At 43.3% G+C, this 26,031-nt stretch overlaps 2 protein-coding genes across 15 annotated transcripts in view, besides 4 other annotated features; one reads left to right on the forward strand and one right to left on the reverse strand.

Annotated features, from left to right (window-relative positions):
* Window positions 1-6,078, reverse strand: part of SLC20A2 (solute carrier family 20 member 2) — a 125,480-nt gene extending 119,402 nt beyond the window's left edge. For 2 of the 10 annotated variants that reach the window (XM_024447237.2, XM_017013748.2), the window contains exon 1: window positions 5,984-6,078. The gene's annotated coding sequence lies outside the window, so the exon portion shown is untranslated. Of the gene's footprint in view, window positions 1-5,038; window positions 5,836-5,944 lie in introns of those variants that run through there. The other 8 variants (XM_006716390.5, XM_005273613.4, XM_024447235.2 and 5 more) reach the window with 5 other exon arrangements.
* SMIM19 (small integral membrane protein 19) lies at window positions 5,272-19,319 on the forward strand. Of its 5 annotated transcripts, none has more exons than NM_001135676.2 (4): window positions 5,272-5,323; window positions 10,593-10,730; window positions 12,780-12,904; window positions 16,668-19,319. In NM_001135676.2, the coding sequence occupies exons 2-4, from the start codon at window positions 10,597-10,599 to the stop codon at window positions 16,730-16,732; spliced, it is 324 nt and encodes a 107-aa protein (NP_001129148.1). In that variant the 5' UTR covers window positions 5,272-5,323; window positions 10,593-10,596; the 3' UTR covers window positions 16,733-19,319. The 5 variants fall into 5 exon arrangements, with proteins under 5 accessions (NP_001129148.1, NP_001350115.1, NP_001129146.1 ...); NM_001363186.2 differs by lacking the exon at window positions 5,272-5,323 and adding an exon at window positions 5,709-6,589; NM_001135674.2 differs by lacking the exon at window positions 5,272-5,323 and adding an exon at window positions 5,709-6,497.
* Window positions 5,290-5,569: a silencer, noted in NCBI's record as "silent region_19156". NCBI's record gives its function as "represses an Ori minimal core promoter by ATAC-STARR-seq in GM12878 lymphoblastoid cells {active_cell/tissue: GM12878}" and the evidence as "EXISTENCE:reporter gene assay evidence [ECO:0000049][PMID:35858748]".
* Window positions 5,710-6,129: a silencer, noted in NCBI's record as "silent region_19157". NCBI's record gives its function as "represses an Ori minimal core promoter by ATAC-STARR-seq in GM12878 lymphoblastoid cells {active_cell/tissue: GM12878}" and the evidence as "EXISTENCE:reporter gene assay evidence [ECO:0000049][PMID:35858748]".
* Window positions 7,290-7,584: an enhancer, noted in NCBI's record as "tiled region #9023; HepG2 Activating DNase unmatched - State 1:Tss". NCBI's record gives its function as "activates a minimal TATA promoter and a strong SV40 promoter by Sharpr-MPRA in HepG2 cells {active_cell/tissue: HepG2}" and the evidence as "EXISTENCE:reporter gene assay evidence [ECO:0000049][PMID:27701403]".
* Window positions 18,495-19,016: an enhancer, noted in NCBI's record as "NANOG hESC enhancer chr8:42409514-42410035 (GRCh37/hg19 assembly coordinates)". NCBI's record gives its function as "activates a minimal SCP1, AML or CMV promoter by ChIP-STARR-seq in naive H9 embryonic stem cells {active_cell/tissue: H9 hESC(naive)}" and the evidence as "EXISTENCE:reporter gene assay evidence [ECO:0000049][PMID:30033119]".
* Window positions 19,320-26,031: the final 6,712 nt, after the last annotated feature.

The raw sequence follows: 26,031 nt of genomic DNA on the forward strand, positions 1-26,031 counted from the left end.
CTGTACATTCCTAGTTAAAGAATAGATCACGTCCAGAATCCAGCTCTCCAACCCTAAAATTCATAACATGGGACTGGTAGAGATTTCATTAAATTATCCTAGCTTCGTAGGCTGAAAATAAATTAATCAGTGTATCATTCTCTCTTTCCCTAAAAGTTTCCCATTCAGGGAAGAGTCTGAAATGAAGATTAGGGCTAACGTGCAAATTGGATAAAAACTACAATATAGACTATTTTAACTCAAGTTTTCCAAATTACTTCCTCAGATACTTAAACAGAACACAAGGTATAGGTCAATATTCATTATTACAAGTTTCTTTTATGCAGGCCATCCCGAAATATATGATGTTCTTCTTAAGGGAGCATAACGAAAGCAGCAAGTCATTTCATCACTGACTCAAATTCTGAAGCTACCCCCAAGATAAATGATATGATATCCTTCCCAGTAGAAACAATCTGTGTAATACAGAATACTGTACCTGCAACGTGTGTGTGTCCTCCCTGGCTGCTAACCAGGCTTGCAGCCCAGGCTTCATTCAAGGGCACTTCCTCCTAATTCCTGGACAGCTGGTGTGGTGATGTATACACTCCCCTATCTGTGGAGCCATTTAGATTCAGTGACTGTTGATGCCCGATGCCCCCAAAATCATACTGTCAGCTCCCAACAAAAGGGAGACATACTGGGACTTTCAGAGAAATACCACTGTTCTTCATCTTGCTGAAATTTATAGGCCCTCATCTAATTCTAAACAGCTTCAAACTGACTTTATTCCAGGTGTGTCACCAAATCAATCACACAATTTTACATTTTTTTCCACCAAAGGAGTATTACTTGGTTTGAAGAGACCTCCTGACCCCAACAGCATTCTCTATTGCTCAATACAACCTGAAAAAGTGAATCAAGATTCTACAAAAAGGTTGGGCACAGTGGTTCACACCTGTAATCACAGCACTTTAGGAGGCCAAGGTGGGTGGATCACCTGAGGTCAGGAGTTCGAGACCAGCCTGGCCAACATGGTGAAACCCCGTCTTCTACTAAAAATAGAAAAATTAGCTGGGCGTAGTGGCAAGCACCTGTAATCACAACTATTCGGGAGGCTGAGGCAGAAGAATTGCTTGAATCCGGGAGGCAGGGGCTGCAGTGAGGCAAGATCGCGCTGCTGCACTCCGGCCTGGGCAACAGAGCCGGAGTCTGTTTAAAAAAAAAAAAAAGATTCTACAAAAAGGCCAGGCACAATGGCTCACTGACGTACCCAGCACTTTGGGAGGCTGAGGCAGGAGGAGGGTTGTTTGAGCCCAGGAGTTCAAGACCAGCCTGGGCAGTATAGTGAGACCTCATCTTTACACAAAATTTAAAAATTAGCTGAGCACAGTGGTGCGTGCCTGTAGTCCCAGCTACTCTGGAGGCTGAGGTGGGAGGATTGCTTGAGGCAGAGGCTGCAGTGAGATCACACTACTGTACTCTAACCCGGGCGACAGAGTGAGACCCTGTCTCAAAAAAAAAAAAAAAAAAAAAGATTCCACAAAAAGATAAAGCAAATGGACAGAAGTGTATAGGAAACCTTTAGTAATACCCACATTAAGGTAAATTACTACCACTAGGGCTTCAAATCTGGTAAGTGTTTAAAAAAAGAAATGCAGTAAGATATCCAGTGTCATTCAATATTATTTTATTTGGCATAAGTTTTTTGATACTAAATTAGTAACAAGCAATCATTGTCCTATGTCCTGGTGAATCACTGTTCTAGAATTCAGTATCTATAAAAAATCATAATCCTCAGCTTTGAGATTCAAACTTCAGTTTCTCTCCACCATCTTTAGTCATTTCAATATATAATGTCCCCTTAACCATTCCATTATCAATGTCCTCTATATAGAAAATCCAGCATTCCTTCTGCAGTTTAGAGACACTGCAATCTCTTACGCTACTTTGAAATTTTTAAAAGAGCATCTCTTACAGCTGCAAAAGTAGTGCTTAGATGTCCCTTCGAAGTATAAAGTAAAGCTCCCCAGAGAAACCACACCGCCTCTGGAGCCAGACTGCCTACTTATGATTTCCGGTACGATCTTGAGCAACAAACTTAATTACTTTGCTGTGTCTCCATTTCTTCCTCTGAAAAATGAGGAAATAATTGTACCTACTTCAAAGGATTGTTGTGAGGTTCACATTTTAAGCACGACATAAGTATTAACTCTTATTTAGCTCCAAATTCTAGTACTGTTTCACATGTGTACACTAGGTTTGCCTAACTAAAATATAACCTACCATTTTGAGTATCTTTGATGTTTCCCCACGGTATGTAACATTCATTTAATAGGTAAATATAAACCTACTCTGTATATATACATGTATATTATATATATTATATATTACATATATTACATTATATATTATAGGTATTATATAATATTATATATTATACTGGATACCAAGGCAATTCTCAAAAATAGGATATCCTGTAGCCTTGAAGAGCTTATATTTTGGGTGAGGAAACAAAATACATGAAACACTCATGTATCAATATAAAGCTATAAAAGATTCACTGTCACAGAGTGTGGTATACACAGTTAATGTTCAAAGAATCATTGTGGGCTGCAGATTGCAGAGAAAGTCAGGCTGGAGTGGCCCTGCACCTAAAAGCAGGTGGGATCTTCACTAGTGGAAAGTGGAGAGAGGATTCCCCAGGGAAAGTGCTCATTCTACAAAGGTTTACATAGCACTCTCAGTTTGCCAGGTTCTGTTCTAGGCCCCAGAAAAAAGACAATGAGTGAAACAGAAGAAGTCCCTGCATTCAGGGAGCTTAAAGGGCACTCCATCTGAGAGCCAAATTTTGAAGGAATGAGAAACGCTTGTCTTCCTGTCATAGGAAACACATCATTTAAATGCCTTATGAACAGGAGCCAATGCTGTTATTACACTCACTATGGCTTTCCAACAGTGAAAAACATACAGAAATTCCAAAATTTTTTCATGTACTGTAATATACTGCATTCTAAATCAGTTCCATCTTTAAAAAGCACATAGGCCAGACACGGTGGCTCACACCTGTAATCCCAGCACTTTGGGAGGCTGAGGAGGGCAGATAACGAGGTCAGGAGATCGAGACCATCCTGGCTAACACAGTGAAACCCCATCTCCAGTCACAAATTCACTCCAAAGGAAAACATGTATACATCTTTTTTATTCTAAGATCCTTCCATTAATGACAACTCTCAACTCCTCCCCTCCCCAAAGAGAAAATGCCTTTAAGTAAAGAAACCCTCTTGTAAATACTGACTAGCAAAGCATTCTTAATCTTTTCCTCTTCCCAAAGATGGACCACCAGAATCTTCTGATAGCTAAGTTCCAGCATGCTTTTTTAATCACAAAGAAGACACACATCCAACTCTCCAGTCCTTTCAACTCGCAAGAAAATGTGAACTGTTAAGTTAAACCCTACGCTCATCTCGGAATCACTGTTAATTGTAACTGTTATGCCTACACAAATCATTAAATTCTATCTTCAAAATAAAATTAAGGAAGCCAAAACTGTTCAATTAAATCCAATCAAAAAACTTACTATTAATGCACAAAGTACTGGACTCAATACTAAGCATATGTTCAAGACATTTAAAGGCAAACTAAAAACTTAGACACACAAATCTTTCACAACTAGCTACAATGTAAATAACATCCTTAACATTTAAATGCCCAGTAAAACTGTGCTAGACTCATCAACAAAGTAATAGCCAGTCCACTGTTTTTTATTTTTTTAGTTTGGTATTGGAAAATTAGCCTTGTTTCATTATGTTTGTTTACCCTTAATTAGGAATGTCACTTAGAAATTAAATATGGAAAGAGGGGGCCATTTAAGAAAGGACCATTAGGGCTTTCTCAATATTTACCTTTTTCCAATGTCCTAGCATAGCCTGTTCACTGGGTGACAATGTTATATAATAGAAACTCTGATAAATAAGAGACACGGGGCTTTGGAAACTATTCAGCACCTAAATAAAGGGACTAATTGTACTTCTATGAATTTTTAAAGCCATCTTCCAACTTGAAAAACACATTAATTTACTCTATGGGTAACATTTTATATTGCCAACACTCTTATTTTACAAAGGCATAAACAAGCATTTAATGCACACGTTTGCCCGGCGCGGTGGCTCACGCCTGTAATCCCAGCACTTTGGGAGGCCGAGGCGGGCGGAACACCTGAGGTCTGGAGTTCGAGACCAGCCTAGCCAACATGGTGAAACTCCGTCTCTACTAAAAATACAAAACTTAGCTGGGCGTGGTGGCGGGCGCCTGTAATCCCAGCTACCTGGGAGGCTAAGGAAGGAGAATCGCTTGAACCCGGGAGGCGGAGGTTGCAGTGAGCCAAGACAGTGCCATTGCACTCCAGCCTGAACGAGAGCAAAACCCCGTCTCAAAAAAAACAAAACAATAACAATAATGTACACGTTTCACATTTGGACACACTGAAATCAAACTCACGTATTCAAATTTTTTTAGATTAAGTTACATAAAGCATGCACACCATTTGGCACAGGCCCGGCAAACAATCAGTACTCAACATCACCTGTTATTTTCCTGATTTTCCAACTTTAGAGTCAAACTAAATGTTATAGAATTATATGTATGATTATGTATATACAATATATATAAATACATATAAATACCGTAAATTAAGCTAGTATGTTATTGCGTAAAGTAATGGTCTTACCCTAGACGAAGGTGAGTTTAATTGTAACAGATGAAACAAAGAATAGAAAACTTGTTAAGAAGTGTTCAATGTAAGCTCTCATCTCTGCAGGGTTTCATGTGACTTATAATTACCAGTCAGCTGGTCCTAGAGAACTTAATCAAAATGTATAGTAAAGACGAACTACGTGGACCAGTGGCCATTTATCTGCAAGGTGGCACCAGCCACTGACATCTGATCACTTCCATACTGATGCTGAAATCCTATGCAAATTCATTACTTAGGTCAAGCTGGGAAACACTTCTGTCAAGTCACTACACAATTAAATAAAAATACCCAAAAGGGACTTACACTGACAATGCTATAGCATCCTGGCCATATCCAGTTTTGAAAACACTACGGTGTCAGCCACGCACCATTTAGGACGGGGAGAATGGAAAGCCAGTTTGGAGAACAGACGCTTTCTTAAGAGTACACGTGAATATGAAAAGGGACTCTATGCTCTCAAGACCAAAAAAGAAATCCTCTGCGCCGCCCGGCTACATTGCGCCTGGTGGGACAATGTACACGACCCCTCCCCCGCCGAGTCCCACCCCAAGCGCGCACAGCGGAGCAGGAGGCGCCCGGCACTCGCAGGTAATGCCCGGTCCCTGCCACTTCCGTCGAGTTTTCGCAAAGGCGCCGCACGGCAAGCGACGGCCAGGTCCACGTGGGCCAGCAGGCGCGGGGGACGCAACCCGCCGCCGCCGCGAGCCCCGCCGGCGCCGACCAGCCCTGGCCCCCACCCGCGGGAGCCCGGGAGTCGGGCCGGGGGCTCGCGGGAGGCGGCGCGCGCAGCCCGGGCGGGGGTCGCGGCGCGGTAGGGGAAAGGAGCCCGGCTCCACTCACGCGCCCGGGGGCGGCACTGGGGCCGCCGCTGCGTCTCTCCGGCTCAAAAAACTGAAAAGGGGAAAGGAAAAAAAAAAAAAAAAGACCTGGCTCCTCGTTTCATCCGGAAACCGACCGGCCGGCAGGAAATGACGAAGGCAGAGGGCGTCCAGGTCCGCTCGGTAACCGTTTCCCGCGCGCCCGGCCCCGACTCCGGGGTAAAGAGCCCCGGAGCGGAGCAGCGCTGGCCGCGTGCCGCCTCCGGAGCCGGCAGCGTGAGTGGCCCCGCGTCCCCGCTTCTCCCGGTCCCCGGCGGGGCCGCGTCACCCGGCCCCGCCCCGCGCCGCCCGCCCCGCCCCGGACGCGGGGGTAAGGGGGGTGGCCGCCCGCCTGCCCTCGGTCCCGTGCGGTCCCCGAAACTCCGAGCACCCGCCCGGTCCCGGCGCGGAGCCCCTCGGCGTCGCGTGGAGCTGCGAGTCGCCCGCTTCCGGAAGCGCACACGGGCCAGTTGCGGCGGCCCATCTGCCGGGGCGGCGGGGGCTCGGCGGGAGGGTTGAGGCTGAATCACGCGCAGCCTGCGGGCGGCGGAAACGTCCCTAGAGCCTCGCCGCCCTGGGACCCGGGCTGCTTCCTGGGAGAGGATTACATTTTCTCCCTGCTCCACTTGACTTTCTTCCGGAAGGAGCAGGTCTCGCAGGATCGGGGCCAAGACTGGAAGAGTTCAGGTTTGGGAGTCGTGTGTATAACAGCCCCGCGCCTCCACGCCCAGGCCTGTGTGGCTTTGGACAAGTTATATAACCACCGCCGCCACCCCAGTTTCTTCTCCTGTAAAATGGAGCTTTAGTGCCGCCCAGCAGGGTTGTTGGGATAATTCAGTGACTCTGTGGACTGCCCAGCACCTGTGAATTGCTTTCCTGGATGTTGGGTGAAGGCCTGTGAGCTTGTATGTACCCTTTGGCTTCAGAATACCAAGCCTTTAGTGTTTCAGAGGGATGAGAGAAAGAAATCCCATTTTTTGATGCAGAGGATTTTGTTGTAAGGGACTCTAGGAACTAAGTGGTTCCAATGTGAATTTGTATCAAAGTAACAAAGTTCTAAGTGAGAGACAAAAATGATAACATTCAAGGCACGATGACAAGCGGTGGTCAATTTTAGAATCACCTAGACGTGACATCAGGAACCCAAAATCACGACACAGATTTTAAAGCTTATGATACAGTGACCTAGTCCCTAGAAAAAGTAGTTCTCGGCTGGGCACGGTGGCTCACGCCTGTAATCCCAGCACTTTGGGAGGCTGAGGCGGGCGGATTGCCTGAGCTCAGGAGTTTTGAGACCAGCCTGGGCAGTATAGTGAGACGACCCCCACCCCACCCCCGTCTTTAAAAAAAAAAAAATAAGAATTACCCAGGCATGGTGGCACTTGCCTGTATTCCCAACTACTTGGGAGGCTGAGGCAGGAGAATCCCTCGATTCTGGGACGTCGAGGCTGCAGTGAGCCGAGATCGCACCACTGCCCTCCAGCCTGGGTGACAGAGTGAGACCCTGTTTTTGTAAAAAAAAAAAAAAAAGTAGTTCTCATCCTAAAAGTTTGTCAATCTAAAACCAACCCCTAGTTGTAATATATTGGCAAGTTTATATACTCTTGTTTACTTGAGACTTAATTCAGCCCATCCTAGCCTCTCCTTACTGAAATAGTTCAAGCATTACATTACAGGAAAATGTGAAAAATGGTGTCTTGCTTTAGATTCCAGAGGAAGGCTGTGGTGGTATGCAGTAAGCACGCAGCAGGTGTATGTGTGTACACTTGGTTACACTGTGGCATGCCGGGGAGGAGGGGACGGGGTCATAGTTCAGGCTGCCTGTGGGCTGTGGGTCTGTACTGTGACTCAGGACCAGAGCACTCCTTACTCCTGGCAGCCTTATAAAGTCATGCCATTGATCATGATTGAGGACTGGGCGGGAAAGGCCTCCCCTCTGCAAATCTTTCACAACTACACTCCTAAAAATAACTCAAGTGCATGTGCCTGGAAGCGCAGAAGAGTGACTTCATGACATACCAATCATGTTGTATAATATAGGTTGTATAATTCACGTTAAAATTTTACCGTTCTATGTCAGCAGTAATTAGAAATTTTTTCCTAAGTGTAATTAAAGACCTGCATATTTGGGGCAGGAGGAAGTAGCGCTTTTGAGTAGGAATATACCATTTACTGAGTGGCACATGAACAGAATCTTGTGAAAAATTAAAGTAAGAAATTAACCTGGTTCTGATCCATTTTGTCATTAGAAAATAGGAAACATTTTTTAATTTGTCAGATAAATGACACCCGTGAAATGTTCTAGTGGCCAGTGCTGTATGGTTCCCCGTTTCTTGCCTAATTTGTTAATAACTCTCAATCCTGAAAGCTGCCTCCCTTGCTGCATAATTGTCCTGGGCCTTCTGCAGCATCTCAAATCAGACACATAAAGTCATCTTTTTTTTGCCAAACACGGTGGTGGTGGTTGCTATTTTACACTTTGGCACCAACGAAGTTTGAGATTCCATAAATTATAAAGACAGTTATAGTGTCTGGGCTTCCAAAAGTTTCCATGTCTAAAGTAGGCTGATTACTTACTATAAACCATAAAGTTACATTCAGAGGAACTCTGGAATTTAGTTTTGAGGAATAAGAATTGAAACTCTCAATATGTCAAATACCGGCCGGGCGCGGTGGCTCACGCTTGTAATCCCAGCACTTTGGGAGGCCGAGGTGGGCGGATCATGAGGTCAGGAGATCGAGACCATCCTGGCTTACACGGTGAAACCCCGTCTCTACTAAAAATACAAAAAAGTAGCCGGGCGCGGTGGTGGGCTCCTATAGTCCCAGCTAGTCAGGAGGCTGAGGCAGGGGAATGGTGTGAACCCGGGAGGCGGAGCTTGCAGTGAGCCGAGATCGTGCCACTGCATTCCAGCCTGGGTGACAGAGCGAGACTCTGTCTCAGGGAAAAAAAAAAAAAAAAATGCCAAATGCCAAATACCTCTGTACCTCTCACTCAAAAAAATCCACAGCCAGTCTTTAGTATCTAGGAATTGGGTATAGTCTAGTGTTTAAACAATATTTAGATAGTGCATCTGCAAATTTTTACAACTTAATTTCTGTTTTTATTGTTCTCTGGCTAATTTTCACGAGACAAATCTTTATATTCAGCAGACACCCATAGTTAGTTTAGTCAAATCACTCCTGCCCTCAGTGTGAAGAGTTGAAGTTAAATGGCTGTTCATGATACTCACTTTATTCTAAAGGAGTACAGTATGTCCCCAAACATCTGACAAAGTCACGTTGTCAGAAAGGCAGAAACATGCCATGTGGCTTAGGAACAGACCTCTCCTGAAATTTCATTTTTCTCATATAGAGGCAAGCTAAAAGAAAGAACTCTGCCCTCAAAACATGTATATTAACTAGCTGGCCAAATCTACACTAATGAACACTTTGGAGGTTTACAGCATGGACTCCTGCAAGACATTTTAGTGAAAGAATTTTTGTAATGCCTTCATTGTTGTAGGCAGCGTAGAAAAAAATCACCAAACAACTTTTTAGACTGTTTTTCTTGGTATTAGAAAATGACTGATTCTCAGAAACTACAGTGCAACTATCACTTATATTTGTCCATTTTTCTCCTGTATATAGAGTGTCTAAAACAACACTTCTGGATTTTCTTTACATATTAGGTCATTTTACTTAGACTTACCTTTTATGTCCCAACACAAGGGAGGAACTCTCTTTAAAGAAAAATTCAGTTAACTTCTCAAACACAAAGAAGAAGTCATTACTTTTACTTGCTGTTTGATGCACTTGCTGTGACCACTCTAACTTTCTGTGGGAATGTCCAAAGAATGCATTTCCTAGGGTAGATGTCACAGCTGTGTCAATAGCAAAATGTATCTTTTCATCCCATAGCTTCTTTCAACCAAATTTGTCCAGCAGGCCAAAACTAGATAAAGCTCTAAACGTTTCCCAGTGTGGGAGGCATGCGGGGTGAGAGAGCCATGTTCTGGCTGTCACATCCTTGCTAGGCTGCTGTGCAACACTTTTGTAGCAGCACAGCCAGGTGTTGAGTCTCTGTGGTTTTTGTTTTTTGAGATGGAGTCCCGCTCTGTCACCCAGGCTGCATTGCAACTGCCTGACCTCCGCTCACTGTAACCTCCGTCTCCCAGGTTCAAGCAATTCTTCTGCCTCATCCTCCCAAGTAGCTGGGATTACAGTCACCCGCCATCATGCCCAGCTAATTTTTTGTATTTTTAGAGAAACAGGGTTTCACCATGTTAGCCAGGCTGGTCTTGAACTCCTGACCTCAGGTGATCACCCACCTCGGCCTCCCAGAGTGCTGGGATTACAGGCCTGAGCCACCACGCCCAGCAGAGTCTCTGTTTTAAAGTATTCTGTTACTTTCCTCTGGGTGTTACAATTTGGAAACTGCAATAACATTTCAAGCTCAGTCCTTTTAGTAATATTATTTTTTATCCCAAGTTTCTTAAAGGGCCAGATTGTAAATATTTTAGGTTTTGTGGGCTTTGAAACAAAATCAATATTGTGTAGGTGCAGTCCTTGGTATTTGGGAGATTGGTGCCAGGACCCCCTCAGATATCAAAATCCGTAGATGCCCAAGTCCCGATATAAAATGGCATAGTATTGCATATAACCTAAGCACATCCTCTATGTACTTTAAATCATCTCTAAGCACTTACAATACCTAATACAATGTAAATGCTATGTAAATAGTTGGTATAATGTATTTTTTAAAATTTGTATTTTTTCCCAAATATTTTCCATTCACAGTTGGTTGATTATGTGGATGCAGAACCGTCAGATAGAGAGGGCCAACTGCACCATTTAAAATGTGCCACTTAGAAATGTAAATCCCATTCTTGGCTCATGGGCCGCACACAAACAGGTGGTGGACTGGATTTGGCCAGCAGGCCATATGTTTGCCAACCCTTCTCCAGACAGTGCTACCATCATTAATTAAAAGAAACCCTGCTTTCTTTTCTCTCTTACAGCCCCATGGCTGGGGGTTATGGAGTGATGGGTGACGATGGTTCTATTGATTATACTGTTCACGAAGCCTGGAATGAAGCCACCAATGTTTACTTGATAGTTATCCTTGTTAGCTTCGGTCTCTTCATGTATGCCAAAAGGTAAATTTTTGTTTCTCAGGGTAGATAAAAACTGTGCATTTACAAGTTTTGCTAGTTTAAGAAATATGAAATGAATGCATAAAAGTAATTTCATCAGGCTGGACGCAGTGGCTCACACCTGTAATCCCAGCACTTTGGGAGGCCGAGGTGGGCAGATCACGAGGTCAGGAAATTGAGACCATCCTGGCCAACATGGTGAAACCCTGTCTCTACTAAAAATACAAAAATTAGCTGGGCATGGTGGTGCGTGCCTGTAATCCCTGTTACTTGGGCGGCTGAGACAGGAGAATCACTTGAACCAGGGAGTTGGAGGTTGCAGTGGTGTACTCCAGCCTGGCGACAGAGCAAGACTCCGCCTCAGAAAAAAAAAGAAAGAAATTTCATTATAATTTTTGTTCTAGTGCTGAAAGACACTGTCTACTCTGGTCTCAAGCATTGGTGGCCAAGGTTTGGCTCTGAAAACCCCATTGCTGGCCAGACACGGTGGCTCACACCTGTAATCCCAGCATTTTGGGAGGCTGAGGCTGGTGGACCTCCTGAGGTCAGGAGTTCAAGACCAGTCTGGCCAACATGGTGAACCCCGTCTCTACTAAAAATAAAAAAATTAGCTGGGCGTGATGGCGTGAGCCTGTAATCCCAGCTACTTGGGAGGCCGAGGCAGGAGAATCACTTGAACATGGGAGGAGGATGCAGTGAGACAAGATCGTGCCATTGCACTCCAGCCTGGGCGACAAAGTGAGACTCCATCTCAAAAAAAAAAAAGAAAACCCCATCGCTTTAAGAAATGAAGAGTTAAGTACCACTCTCAGCCCCCAGGCCAGCTGCACTAAACTCTCAATTCTGCAATTTCTAATATAGCCCAATTTTATCATCCAGCCTGGGTTCATTGTCACCCTTCATTGAGCACATTTTTTTTGGCTTAAGTCCCTGAATGCAGAAACACTGACTCCTGTGTATTCAGCAGATCTCCCTTTAGCCAGTATAAGCTTTTCCTTGTTTTTTGTGCATGACTATATCATAGCACTTATTAAACAATGTTAGTTTTATCTGATTACTTGTCTGTCCATTCCACAACATGTCTTTTTTGTCTTTTACTTTTGGGTCCTTGGTGTGCCATATAGTGTAAATCTTCAATAAGTATTTCCTGCTTTAATTCCAGATGTTGTAGCTTAATTTAACTGCTTTTCCACATTCCCTGGCTCCTTTCCCAGAAGTACAGTAAAAAGGGGGAGGTGCAGGGATGCTTTAAAAAGAGGAAGAGCAGTGTTAGATTGGGATGCTTCTGCAGACACATGCTTTACAGGTATCCTGTCCCAAGGTAAAAAGGCATTCGAGAGTTCAAGGTAATTAGTAATCCAGAAATAATTTACGTTTGGCCTGAGGAATCATTCAGAGCCCGCACTTGCGCCCAGATCTCAGCTGAACCCTCCTGGAGCAGCTGGCCTGTTGGCTGCTGAACTCTAGGGGTGGTGAGAGGAGGCACCCTGACCATCACTGATCACCTGGCAGGTGACCGCTTTCCTCTAAAAACAGCCACCGCCGCCTCCCCATGTTTCTTTTAAAAGCAGAGGCACGCTGTTCTTAATTTTAAAAAGATGTCTCCACTAAGCCCATCCTATTGTATTTAAGAAATATGTTTATTCATTACTTTCCAAAATTAGGATCTGCTCACATTCAGTTTATTCTCCAGCCCAGTCATTTAGCTTTATCTGGATGTCATGAAAGGGAGGAAAAATCAGCTGTTTTCTTGTTTGTGATTTTCTCATAGGATATTTGGCTTTTGGAGGATTGAGGAGAATCACAATGGAGGAACTTCACTTTGTTGTGTTAAATGGATGTGTTCAGCTACTTTTCTCACAGCCTCATACTTTTTAGTGAAAGAAAGAATACTTTGAGCCAAGGAAGCAGCTCTCAAAGACAAAATAGAAAGTAAAATGGTCTTGTCATTTAAGTCCTTTTACCACAGCTTCTGATGACCAGGATCATGAGCATATTACAACTCTATAGACATTAATACAAACATCTCTTCTGCATGGATTTTGTGTTTAGGAACAAAAGGAGAATTATGAGGATATTCAGTGTGCCACCTACAGAGGAAACTTTGTCAGAGCCCAACTTTTATGACACGATAAGCAAGATTCGTTTAAGACAACAACTGGAAATGTATTCCATTTGTAAGTATATTCTGTGCTGAAAGATACACATATGCACATTTAAAATAGATTTTCTGGAATTGAGTTCATTTAGCAAAATGTTATTAGAAATCGTAAGTAATGAAAACTTAGTACTTCTTTCAGATGTTTAATATGTTTTTCAGATACTTATCCTTTGTTCCTTTTGTATTTTATACCATTTGCATGTGTTACTGGCTCAAAATAAGACATATAACTTAATTCAACATAGCAGCATTATTCACAATAGCCAAAAGGTGGAAATCACCCATAAGTCCTCAGCCCATGAATGAATAAACAAAGTGTGGTGCATACAATAGAATGTTATTCAGCCCTTAAAAGGAAGGACATTCTGGCCGGGAGTGGTGGCTCACACCTACAATCCCAGCACTTTGGGAGGCTGAGGTGGGTGGATCACAAGGTCAGGAGTTCAAGACCAGGCTGGCCAAGATGGTGAAACCCTGTCTCTACCAAAAATACAAAAATAAGCTGGGCACACTTGCGGGTGCCTGTCATCCCAGCTACTCGGGAGGCAGAGGCAGGAGAATCGCTCGAACCTGGGAGGCAGAGGTTTCAGTGGCCTAAGATCACACCACTGGACTGTAGCCTGGGCGACAGAGCAAGACTCCGTCTCAAAAAAAAAAAAAGAAGTACATTCTGACATGCTACACATGGATGAACCTTGAAGACAGTACACTAAGTGAAATAAGCCAGTCACAACAGGACAAATATTGGATTATTTCACTTACGTGAGGCAAATCACAGAGACACAAAGTAGAATGGTGGTTGCCTGGGGCTATGGAAGAGGGGAATAGGGAGTTTAATGGGTCCAGAGTTCAGTTGGGGATGATGAGAAGAGCTCTGTGGATGGATGGTGGTGATAGTCCCAGCAATGCAAATATATGTAATGCCACTGAACTGTACACTTAAAAATGGTTAAAATGGTAAAGTTTATGTTATGTATGTTTTACCACATTAAAAAAAATCCTTTTAAAGAAACATAAGTATTGTTTAAAAAAAAAAGTACAGAGCCTTGGGGCCAGGTGTGATGGCTCACGCCTGTAATCCTAGCACTTTGGGAGTCTGAGACAGGTGGATCACTTGAGGTCAGGAGTTCGAGACCAGCCTGCCAACATGGTGAAACCCCATCTTTACTAAAAGTACAAAAATTAGCTGGGTGTGGTGGTGGGTGCCTGTAATCCCAGCTACTCAGGAGGTTGAGGCAAGAGAATTGCTTGAACCCAGGAGGCAGAGGTTGCAGTGAGCAGAGATCACACCATTACACTCCAGCCTGGGGGACAAGAGTGAAACTTCGTCTTAAAAAAAATAAAAAAAAGTACAGAGCCAGGAGCTCTGTATGAAAAATTCTAAGTAAAGAACTAAGTTTTTATTGACACGTACACAAAAGTTATTTGCTGTCAGTAATATGCTCAGTAACATAGCAGATACATTACAAACCCACAGTTTATTTCTTTTTTGATGGAAATGATATAAAATAAAATTGATCCAAATTTCTGTTTGCAAGGTGTATCAGTTTTCTATTGCTACTGTAACAAATTACCACAAATGTAGTGGCTTAAACCACACGAACATGTTGTCTCACGGTTCGGTGGGTTAGAAGCTCCACAGCAGCTGCACCGTGCTAACTTCAGGGTGCCTGCATGGTTCTGTTTTTCTAGAGCCTCCAAGGAAAATCCCTGTCTTTGCCTCCTCCAGCTTCTCAGGGCCATCCACACTCCTTGGGTCACAGTCCCTTCCTCCATCTGCAAAGCCAGGAGCATTGCATCTTTCTGACTATTTCATGTCCACATCTCCTTCTCTCAGAACTTAGGCAGGAAAAAAGCTCTGTAATTTTAACGGCCCATCTGATTATGTTGGGCAGATAATCCAGAGTCATCTCCCCATGTCAAGGTCCCTACCTTAATCACATCTTCAGAGTCCCTTTTGTCTTGTGAGGTAACATAGGCACAGATTATGGGTTAAGATGTGGACATCTTTGGGGGCCATTATGCTTATAAGCAGTGAGCACATGTGTGGATTTGCACATTTAATGAATCCCAGCATAATGGGTCCTTAGTGTTCGTGATGTATTTTGTCCTGACAGAGTCTGGTGGTTCCAAAGACACAGGCAACAGAATTCTTTTTTAAATAGAAGACTCCCGAAGTTGTAAGCTTTGGGCTACAAAAATCTGGATCTACCCTGAGTAGCATAAACAAATAGTATCTCTTTCTTGGCTAGTAAAAAACTTAGAAGAGATTGGCCAGGCGTGGTGGCTCACACCTGTAATCCCAGCGCTTTGGGAGGCCGAGGCGGGTGGATCACCAGGTCAGGAGATCGAGACCATCCTGGCTAACACAGTGAAAACCTGTCTCTACTAAAAATATAAAAAATTAGCAGGGCATGATGGCGGGCACCTGTAGTCCCAGCTACTCAGGAGGCTGAGGCAGGAGAATGGCATGAACCCAGGAGGCAGAACTTGCAGGGAGCTGAGATCACGCCACTGCACTCTAGCCTGGGCGACAGAGCGAGACTCAAAAAAAAAAAAAAAAAACTTAGAAGAGATTGAAAGTTTTAAAGCTAAGCAGTGGATGACACAAAGATTTTTAGCCCTGTATTTTCTCTAGTTTCAAGTTAAGACAGTTTTTCTTCAATTAACGTTTCTTAGAAGTACAAAAAGAAGACAGAATTGCATATCTATTTTTTCTTCTAGTTTATATTGAAGACATTTATTATATGTTTAATCAACAATAAGCCTGTTAGGTTTTTAAGTTAAAATATAGTCAAATTCCTTATGTGTGGACAAAAGCATTATTATTAACTTTAAGATGGAAATGACAGGTAATAAAGGAAGAAATTACTAAACATTAATTTTAATAGCTTAGGTCAGGCATGATGGCTCACACCTGTAATCCCAGCACTTTGGGAGGCCAAGGCAGGATGATCGTTTGAGCCCAAGAGTTCAAAGACCAGCCTGGGCAACATGGTGAAACCCTGTCTATACTAAAAATAAAAAAAATTAGCTGGGTGTGGTGATGTCCACCAGTAGTCCCAGCTACTTGGGAGGCTGACGTGGCAGGATTGTTTGAGCCTGGGAGGTCAAAGCAGCAGTGAGCCATGATTGTGCCACTGCACTCCAACTTGGGTGACAGAGTGAGACACTGTCTCAAAAATAAATACAGTTTTGAAATTTTAATAGCTTAATGTTTATATTTTAAAGCTATGAATAATCCTGATACATGAATAATAATAATAAACATATAAAAATGGGCATCAGCAGTGTTGAGAAATTAGAGGATCATGAAGTGTAATACATCTTTTCCAAAGAAACAAAATTGTTTTAATTCTAGACTAATTACTTAGCGGGGTACAGTGGCTCACATCTGTAATCCCAGCACTTTAAGAGGCCAAAGCAAGAGGATCACTTGAGGCCAGGAGTTCAAGACCAGCCTGGGCAACATGGCGAGACCCTATCTCTGCAAAAAATAAAAAATTAGCCGGGTGTGGTGGTGTCTGTCTGTGGTCTCAGCTACCTGGGAAGCTGAGGTGGGAGGATTGCTTGAGCACAAGAGGTTGAAGCTGCAGTGAGCTGTGATTGTGCCACTGCACTGCAGCCTGGGTATCAGAGGGAGACTCTATCTCTGAAACAAACAGACAAAAACTAATTCTTCATTGAGAATCATGACTTGACTGTAATGTAATATTGTTAAGTAGTAATCATTTTGCAGTTTTATTAATTTTATCTCTTCTTTTTCTTGTTGTGAATAGCAAGAAAGTACGACTATCAGCAGCCACAAAACCAAGCTGACAGTGTGCAACTCTCATTGGAATGAAACCTCAGAAAAAGAGCAACAGAAGTAATTGTTTCAAGCTCCTGATTCTTTCTACTAAATCATGAACAGCTTTAAAAACATTTCTGTCTGCATAAAATTATTTTACTTGTAACTTTTCCCCAATTGTTCTGTGCATTGTTTTGCCTTTTTAAATTACATCTCCAAGTGGCTCAAAAGGCCTTGACACAGGGAACCTGCACATATCCAGGATATGTGTAACCAGCGATGGTGACTTGACCTTGCCAAGACCTGTGATTCCTTCAGGATACAATCAGTGAGAAATAAAAACACATCTTGGGAAGTGGGAATCCTGGAGTTTATGCCATTTGCAATATTAAAAAATAAAAATGCAAGTTATTATTTCAATAATAACTTCCTGTTTCATTGTATTCTGTGAGTGATAAGTGTCAGATCAATAACAGATTAATTTGTTGTTAACAGCTCTTTTTTTTTTTTTTTTTTTGAGACAGAGTCTGTTGCCCAGACTGGAGTGCAGTGGCACAATCTCTGCTCACTGCAACTTCCACCTCCCGGGTTTAAACGATTCTCCTGCCACAGCCTCCTGAATATTCTGTTAACAGCTCTTTAATTAATGATCTTTGCTTCTTCAGAACTTGTATGGTAGACCGTCTTTTCTACAGCATGATGCATACTCCTGTGCTAATTTTAGAAGCTTTCTGTAACTAGATTTTTCCTCATTATGCTCCCAGGAGCGAGTTTGTTTTTATCCCCGTTTCATTTCTACCAGGTAGCTCTACTTTAGGCCATACTGGGGACCTGCTGTTGAATAAATGGATGCCTGTGTATTGGTGTTGGCAACTCTGCGGTAGTAGTGCTACCACTGGCGAGGCAGTATTACTGCCACTGGTGAATGTTGCTGTCTGGTTACTGCTGCATTTTTGGCATGCTAAGCTTTCCTAAAGAGCCTCATATCTTTTCCCATGCTGTACTGTACAATGAAATGTTTTTACCTAATTTTTCATGTTTATTTAAATAAAAGCTGACTGGGTAATAGTGGGGAAGTTTAATTGTCCACATAAGTCAAAAGAATCCGTTTTTGAACTAGAGCTATTTTCAATTATAAGAGTGAGCTGGCTGGGCACGGTGGCTCACGCCTGAAATCCCAGCACTTTGGGAGGCCAAGGTGGGAGGATCACGAGGTCAGGAGTTTGAGACCAGCCTGGCCAACGTGGTTAAACCCAATCTCTACGAAGAATACAAAAATTCGCTGGGTGTGGTGGCATGCGCCTGTAATCCCAGCTACTCAGGAGGCTGAGGCAGGAGAATTGCTCGAATCTGAGAGGTGGAGGTTGCAATGAGCCAAGATCACACCACTGCATTCCAGCCTAGGCGACAGAGCAAGACTTCGTCTCAGAAAAAAAAAAAAAAGTTAATAATGGCTTCAAGTATTTCATTTTCCCCTTATTGTGAAATAAACTATATACATTTTAAATGGAAATTAAGGTTTAGACCAAATAAAATCATTCAGGGAAATTGCATTTACTTTTAAAAATGTGTTGTTCAAAAATGTATATATAGTACAAAGTGAATTGACCAAACAGAATAATTCTTAACTCACAAAGGAGTTTGAGCGCACTTCCTACATGTTGAATTTAAATCTGACTAAAGGATTGTAAACAGTTGTAATTATGGGTTGTAGTAACAGAGCAACAAGGGGACAATCTTCTAAACTTGCCTTTGCCTAGGAGAGCTACTGTATATTTCCACAAGTGAATTTAATCAGCAGTAGGAGTGGTTTACTCGTCACTGACATGTGGCACAATCTGGACAAATTACACAAACTGGCTATCTCAGATGTGTAAAATTAATGTACATAAATAAACGTAAGTCACACAATGAATTTCCTTTGTGTCCACTAGATAGAGATGGTCCTAACTACAAACTAGTAGATTATTTGATGAGCATCAAGCCCTGGCAAGTGACAGGAGATGAATTCCTCTCCGTTTTTTCCTTAAAGCAAACTGATGGGAATTGCACACACCCCACTGGCAGGAACAACAGCAAGCCGGCTTTGAAGTCTCTTCCCTGCTTCAACAGCTGAATTGGGGAGAGCGCAAGCCCTGCAGCCACACTTCAAAGCGGCGCTGACTGGCTGTCCTGCTTCTACCCAACATCCACCTGAGACTCAACAGAACTGTTTTCTTTGGAAGAAAAATGGAACTACTAATAAGCTAGTAATTAACCCTTGTATTCTTTTTCTGGTTTCATCTTCCTGTTTTAATGTGTAAGATATTCAGCAGTAAGCACTGGTCAGCCTGCCCTGGTGCACAGCTTGAGTGTGTTAAATAACTGGCTGTTTAGCTGATGCCAGCCAGCTGCGTGAAGGGGAGAAGGCCGCCTCCAAGGACACAGATGTTTGCTGTTGACCTCACGCTGTGTCTGGTTGAGTTATTCATGATTCATCAGAAAATGACATGCAAGGTTTATGGTAAAACTGCTGTACAATCAGAAGTATTTTAAGTATGCATTAGAAGTAAGATAAAATAGTAATAAAAATAGTTTCAGATGTTAAGATGATACAAGAATAAATTTAACCTAGAAAATAAAGGGAGAAGGAATAAAAGAACGTGGTATAGAGCCAAGTAATTCATTCAGTGGTTGGTTCTGGAGTGTTTCCCCTGTGCTTGCTGTATGTGATCCTCTTTCATAGGCTATTCTAATAGCGGAACTAGAATAAGAGGTGCCAGAAAACCAACGGAAATAGGAAGGGCACTGAGCTAATCTCCAACATGTTCACAACAGTGAGGACCAGAGGGCAGGGGCTGGAGCTCCGTGAGTGTATTTCCCACTTGGCTCCTTAATGAAGCCAGAGCCAAACTTAGACAAAGCTATAAAGCAGGAAAAATGTCCCACCTCTCCCTTTTACATCCCTCTTTATCGTCCCATAAGCCTGTGACTGAGACAGGTCTTGAATGAGGATTTAAGAATGGGAATGAGGAACTCAGAACTAAGGTGGTGAACCCTACACACCATAGCAGACATGCAAACTTTCTTTGACCTCTAACCCCAAATAAGTGGCATTCAGCATTGGACCTTATACAAATGAAACTGCTACTTTTATTTTATTTTATTTTATTTATTTGAGACGGAGTCTCACTCTGTCACCCAGGCTGGAGTGCAGTGGCACCACGTCAGCTCACTGCAACCTCTGCCTCCTGCGTTCGAGTGATTCTCCTGCCTCAGCCTCCTGAGTAGCTGGGATTACTGGTATGTGCCACCACGCTGGGCTAATTTTTGTAGTTTTCATAGAGACGGGGTTTCGCCATGTTGGCCAGGCTGGTCTCAAATTCCTGACCTCAGGTGATCCACCCACCTCGGCCTCCCAAAGTGATGAGATTACAGGCATGGCCACTGCGTCCAGGCTTACCTTTATTTTATTTAGATATAGTAAAAAACTAAGACCATTTGTGGAGGTTAGTAACACTCCACAATCCAGATAGGAAGGTGGGGTAAGTCAAAGGGAGGCCCCTCCCTGGCCCCAGTTTTGATGCTGAAGGAACACTGCTTTCACCTCCTTCAGGGTGATGTTTCTAGCGCTAGAGTTTCTTTTCTTCCAAATGGAGAAGTGACAGAGGTCTCACTGTTAGGAAAGAGTGACTCTATCTCTGGGGTTTTTATTTATATATATTTTGACAAATTTCAAACTAGCCAAAGAAAATTGAGAATTTTTAACTACAGCTGATTTGGTGGTGTTAACTGCAAATGCTTTTGGGCTCAGCAATCAGAATTTATTGAGAAAATGAACCACAAAATTGTAAAATGTCTATGAGACAACAAGTAAATGTACATGGTATTCCTTTAGTGGGTAGGGAGAAGGGATTGTAATGTCCCTGAATAACATCTTTATTTTGAGGTCTAAAGAACCAGGCCCATTCCAGTTGACTTTAGTTTTATATAATTCTTTATATCCGAAAGGATTTCTAGCACCTAGTATTGGCATAGTAACTAGCCCAGAGTAAATGCTTAGTAACTACTTGTTGAATTAATCAATTTACTTGTAACGGTTTATAGAGGTGATATTTTTATATGTTTTTTTTAAAGTGTAGTCTCTGCTTCTGGTAATGGCAGAGTAATTGTGTCAGGCTAATTCTTGGAGATAGTGACAATAAGTTCAGGACAAAGTATTTAAAAAACAACTATTTGGGCTGTGTGCAGTGGCTCACGCTTGTAATCCCAGCACTTTGGGAGGCCAAGGCAGGTGGATCACGAGGTCAGGAGTTTGAGACCAGCCTGGCCAATATGGTGAAACCTCATCTCTACTAATAATACAAAAATTAGCCAGGCATGGTGGCACAAGCCTGTAATCCCAGCTACTCAGGATGCTGAGGCAGGAGAATTGCTTGAACCTGGGAGGCAGAGGTTGCAGTGAGCCGAGATCGCACCACTGCACTCCAGACTGGGCATTACAGCACGACTCCATCTCAAAAAAACAAAATGAAACAAACAACCCCCCCACCCCCAACTATTTGGGGGTAACCCTATGCAGACAAACAAACCAGAAGGAAGATGAGCCTTGAGAGAAAGGCACCTGTTGAGATTCTCATTTCTATGGTTTTTTGCCTGAAGGCATTTCCCAGTCCACAGCTCAGGACTATGGGGAAACACAGGCAGAAGGCCACAGTCTCTGAGGACAGAGCTCAGGGACTCTGGAGAGATGACAGTGACAGGGACATCCCAGAAAGAAGTGAGCCACAGAAGAACTGCATGTAAATTTGGGCAAGTCTTTGGCTGATCCTTGAACTATGCGTCTATAATCTCTCAGGAGCCTAGCAGGAAGCAAATCGCTAAAAAGGCTGAAAGAGGCTGAGGTGGCAGTGAGCCGAGGTTGTGCCACTGCACTCCAGCAGCCTGGGCAACAGAGCAAAACTCCATCTCAAAAAAAAAAAAAGCTGAAAGAACTGAGCAGTTTTCAGCTGTTGCCACCACAGGAATTGCCATTCGAGCCTTGCCAAATTAATTTTGCTTGCTAGAACAAAAATCAGCACTTTTCAGAGAAAGAAAACAATCTAGAGACTTTGTATCACTCACAATGTCCAATATGCAAGAAAAAGTTACAGGAATGTGAGAAGAACATGAAAATGAGAACAGAAAGAACAGGAAAATGAGGCCACAGTCAAAGAGAAAAAAATGGGACAATGCAGTCTGTAGCCGAGAAAAAGCAGTCAATAGAAACTGACTTCAAAATTATCCAGATATTGGATTAGCAGATAAGAACTCTATTTAATTTTTATTGATTTTTTATTTTTTTGAGTCAGGGTCTCACTCTGTCACCCAGGCTGGGGTGCAGTGGTAAAATCACAGCTCACTGCAGCCTTGACCTCTTGGGCTCTGGTGATCCTCCCAACTCTGCCTCTTGAGTAGCTGGGACTACAGTCACACACCACCATGCTGAGCTAATTTTTTGTATTTTTAGTAGAGACAGGATTTTGCCCTGTTGCCCAGGCTGGTCTCGAACTCCTGGACTCAAGCCATCTGCCCACCTCAGCCTCCCAAAGTGCTAGGATTACAGGCACAAGTGCTACCGTGCCCGGCCAACAGATAAGAACTTTAAAGCAGCTATTACAAATATGTTTAGAGAAATGAAATACTTTCAGATAAATGATCATTAAAAGGATTTATCAGCAGCAGATCTGTTGTACAAGAAATACTAAAGGAAACTATTTGGCCTAAAGAGAAGTGACAGCAGATAGAAACTCAGTTCTCAGCAAACTACAGGCATATGAATGAACAGATGAGGAGAGACACGGATGGAGCAAGTGGGGCTTTTACCAAGTGGGGATCAAAAGCATGTAGGAGTTTCTTGCACTGGAACAACTTTTTCTATAAGCTTGAAGTTTATAAATTTATAGAAAAAGCATTTATGAATCCATTTCTTATTAAACCAGGTTTTGTTTTTCCTCTCATACCAATCATCAGTAAAATTGAAAAACAGGTGAGGTGTCTAAGGTGTCTTAGACAAGCTTAAGCTTCTTTCTTCTCTACTTAGTCCCATAGTATCCAATATCCTCCTATTCCCTATCAAAATCTACTTCCAGAAAGGAATCTAAAACACACTTCCACAAAAGTCTGCATGACTGATAACAGTCAAAGCGTTACACCTATAGGGCGTTTGGTCTGCATTTTAACAGAGAGAGGTTTCAATAGGAAGGAAATGAAGTTTTTAGACATTAAAGAGCAGTGGTAATTCTTAGAGATGAGAAAGTGTTTATGGCCTCTGAAATCACATCATGTAAGCAATTAACTAAACTCTGCCTTCTTGTTTGGCCACCACTTCCAATTCTGCTCTCCTCTATCATCTTTTTTTGTTTTTTTCTCCCTCCTACCCCGAGACGGAGTTTCACTCTCGTTGCTCAGGCTGGAGTGCAGTGGCGCAATCTTGGCGTACTGCAACCTCTGCCTCCTGGGTTCAGGCGATTCTCCTGCCTTAGTCTCCTGTGTAGCTGGGATTACAGATGTTTGCCACTACACCTTTTTTCGCATTTTTAGTAGAGATGGGGTTTCACCATGTTGGTCAGGCTGGTCTCGATTGACCTCAGGTGATCCACCTGCCCCAGCCTCCCAAGGTGCTGAGATTACAGGCATGAGCCACTGCGCCCGACCCTCCTCTATCATCTTAAACATTAGCAATCAGAGTGTCAGCTGTTCCCCATCAAAATTATTAAATGCACTGGAACTCCTAAAAAAAAAAAAAAAAAAGTTATTCTGGCCGGGCACAGTGGCTTACGCCTGTAATCCCAGAACTTTGGTAGGGCGAGGTGGGTGGATCTCACCTAAGCTCTAGAGTTTGAGACCAGCCTGACCAACATGGAGAAACCCCCTCTGTACTAAAAATACAAAATTAACTGGGCGTGGTGGTGCAGGCCTGTAATCCCAGCTACTCGGGAGGCTGAGTTAGGAGGATCACTTGAACCTGGGAGGCAGAGGTTGCGGTGAGCCAAGATCACCCCATTGCACTCCAGCCTGGGCAACAAGAGCAAAACTCTGTCTCAAAAAAAAAAAGTGATTTCACAGTTTTGAATCCATTTAAAACAGGGCTGTCAACTCTATTGTCTTATCCCCTTGAGACAGGAAGACAGAGTGTGTCCAGAATTGGTTCCTTCCGGTGGGTTCTTGGTCTGGCTGACTTCAAGAATGAAGCCGCGGACGCTTATGGTAGGTATTACAGTTCTTAAAGACGGTGTGTCCAGAGTTTGTTTCTTCAGATGTTCAGATGTGTCCAGAGTTTCTTCCTTCTGGTGGGTTCGTGGTCTTGCTGACTTCAGGAGTGAAGCCACAGACCTTCACAGTGAGTGTTAGAGCTCTTAAAGGTAGTGCTGACCCAAAGAGTGAGCAGCAGCAAGATTTATTGTGAAGAGCGAAAGAACAAAGCTTCCATAGTATGGAAGGGGACCTGAGCAGGTTGCTCCTGCTGGTGGCCAGCTTTTATTCCCTTATTTGGCCCCGCCCACATCCTGCTGATTGGTCCATTTTACAGAGTGCTGATTGGTGCATTTACAAATCTTTAGCTAGACACAGAGCATTGATTGGCATGTTTACAATTCTTTAGCTAGACAGAAAAGTTCTCCCAGTCCCCACCTGACCCATAAGCCCAGCTGGCTTCACCTCTCAATCCCCGTCTAAACAGAACACCCCAACTGCTGCTGGGAATTGGCCGATGACTGCTCTAGCTACTTCCTGCTGGATAGTGGCAAAGAAGGGGCCCTGCAGTTGTAGTGTCCTCCAGAGGGGAACTCTCTAGGCCAGTGAAAGGGCCAGCAGGTCAGTCCAGGGGTCCTTGGTAGAAGTTGTTAGTTGAGCTCATTTGGGGTTCCATTTGTAAGACCATCTGTAGCTTGACGGCCTTGATCCCAGAGGAAACAAATTTGACAAGGAGGTTAAAAATACAGGGCCTGAAGGTGAGTAATAGCAAGATGGCTGCCATGGGACCTAGAAAGGGGAGAAGCCACGTTGCCTAACTCCAGAGGTTAGTATGAGTTTGAACGGCATTGTCTGATTTCAGAAGCCTTTTCCTGTAAATGCCGGGCAGCACCTCATACTATCCCTGACTGGTTAGTGTAAAAACAACACTCTTCCCCTAAGAGGTGCAGAGTCCTCCTCTCTCAGCAGTGAAGAGGTCTAGGCCTCAGCCGTTTTGGAGAGTTACTGCTGCCAAAGAGTCTATTTGGGATCGTAGAGTAAGGATAGATTTCGTTATTTCTTGCAAACTGTCTGAGAAATCCTTTGAGAGTGTGTGGTAGTAGGATAATGAAGTAGATTAACTGGCTATTCCGGTTCCTGTAGCAGTAGCCATTACTAACTGTATAAGTAGGGGTATTAGTTGTATGGCTCTGCGCTGACAGACTTGAGCTTTGAGGGGTACTGATAGGGTCTGATTTCCTGGGGCAATGTTAATGTTGGGACCTAGAAAGACTAAGGTGCAGGTGCCTGTCCAGTTAGTGGGGAGGCAGATATAGGTCGATGTTCCACATAAGAAGAATATACCTTGGCTGGGTAGACAGAACTTGTTGTATATGTTAAAAAGGTGTGTGAGTTTGTTGTTTTCATTTTCCCATACTCCTAGAGTACTTGCCAAGGTAGCCCCGGTGAGTGGCTGGAAAGGGGTGTTGGGGGCAAACTGAGTGGCTCCCTGTGTTCTATTTTATTTTTGTCCTGGCAGGAGCTATAGTATATAGTATGGTTAGTATGCTGCTTAATAATATAATGAAATAGTAAAAGGATTCCATTAAAGGGGCAAGGAGAGGTGGTAAAGATAAAGATTGTGTAGGTTTTCACTTATCTTTTTTAAGGAGGATGGGGTTTTTCTTCAGGATCAGTGGTAGGAGCCTTTTTAGTCTGGGATGTTTCCTTCTGAAATAGGAGATGCAAGTCCTCCAATGGTTCGCAGGTGTATTGAGGCTGGTCTGGCTGATCTTGGGACTCCTGAGCTGACGGTCCCGCAGGTTCCTCAGGGGGTGTCAAAAATTTGACTTGGGTGTGGTGAATCCAAGATTCCACTCCTACCACCTTAACTGCAGTGGGGGTAGAGAGGATTACTGAGTATGGTCCTTCCCACAAAGAGTCCATAGATGGGGAGGTAGAGGGGAGAGATTTGACCAACACTAGATCTCCTGGTTGAAACAACTCTGTACCCTTTTCTCTGTGACATCCTTCAGGTAGGTTTTTAAGATTTTGTTGATATTTTGCCAAAGAAGTTATATCTTTGGCCAAATTGGCCGTTTCCTGATCAAGTAGAAGGTCATTTGTGAGAAAAGGTCGTCCATACAGCATTTCATATGGAC

Source organism: Homo sapiens, chromosome 8 (genome assembly GCF_000001405.40).
Source record: "Homo sapiens chromosome 8, GRCh38.p14 Primary Assembly".
In the NCBI taxonomy this organism is placed as follows: Eukaryota; Metazoa; Chordata; class Mammalia; order Primates; family Hominidae; genus Homo; species Homo sapiens.

What these genes read in the sequence shown, in the direction of transcription:
- SMIM19 (NM_001363186.2), top strand. An exon ending in CTCTTCATGTATGCCAAAAG is followed by an intron (nt 10,731 to 12,779) that starts GTAAATTTTTGT and finishes TTTTGTGTTTAG; the next exon opens with GAACAAAAGGAGAATTATGA. An exon ending in ACTGGAAATGTATTCCATTT is followed by an intron (nt 12,905 to 16,667) that starts GTAAGTATATTC and finishes TGTTGTGAATAG; the next exon opens with CAAGAAAGTACGACTATCAG.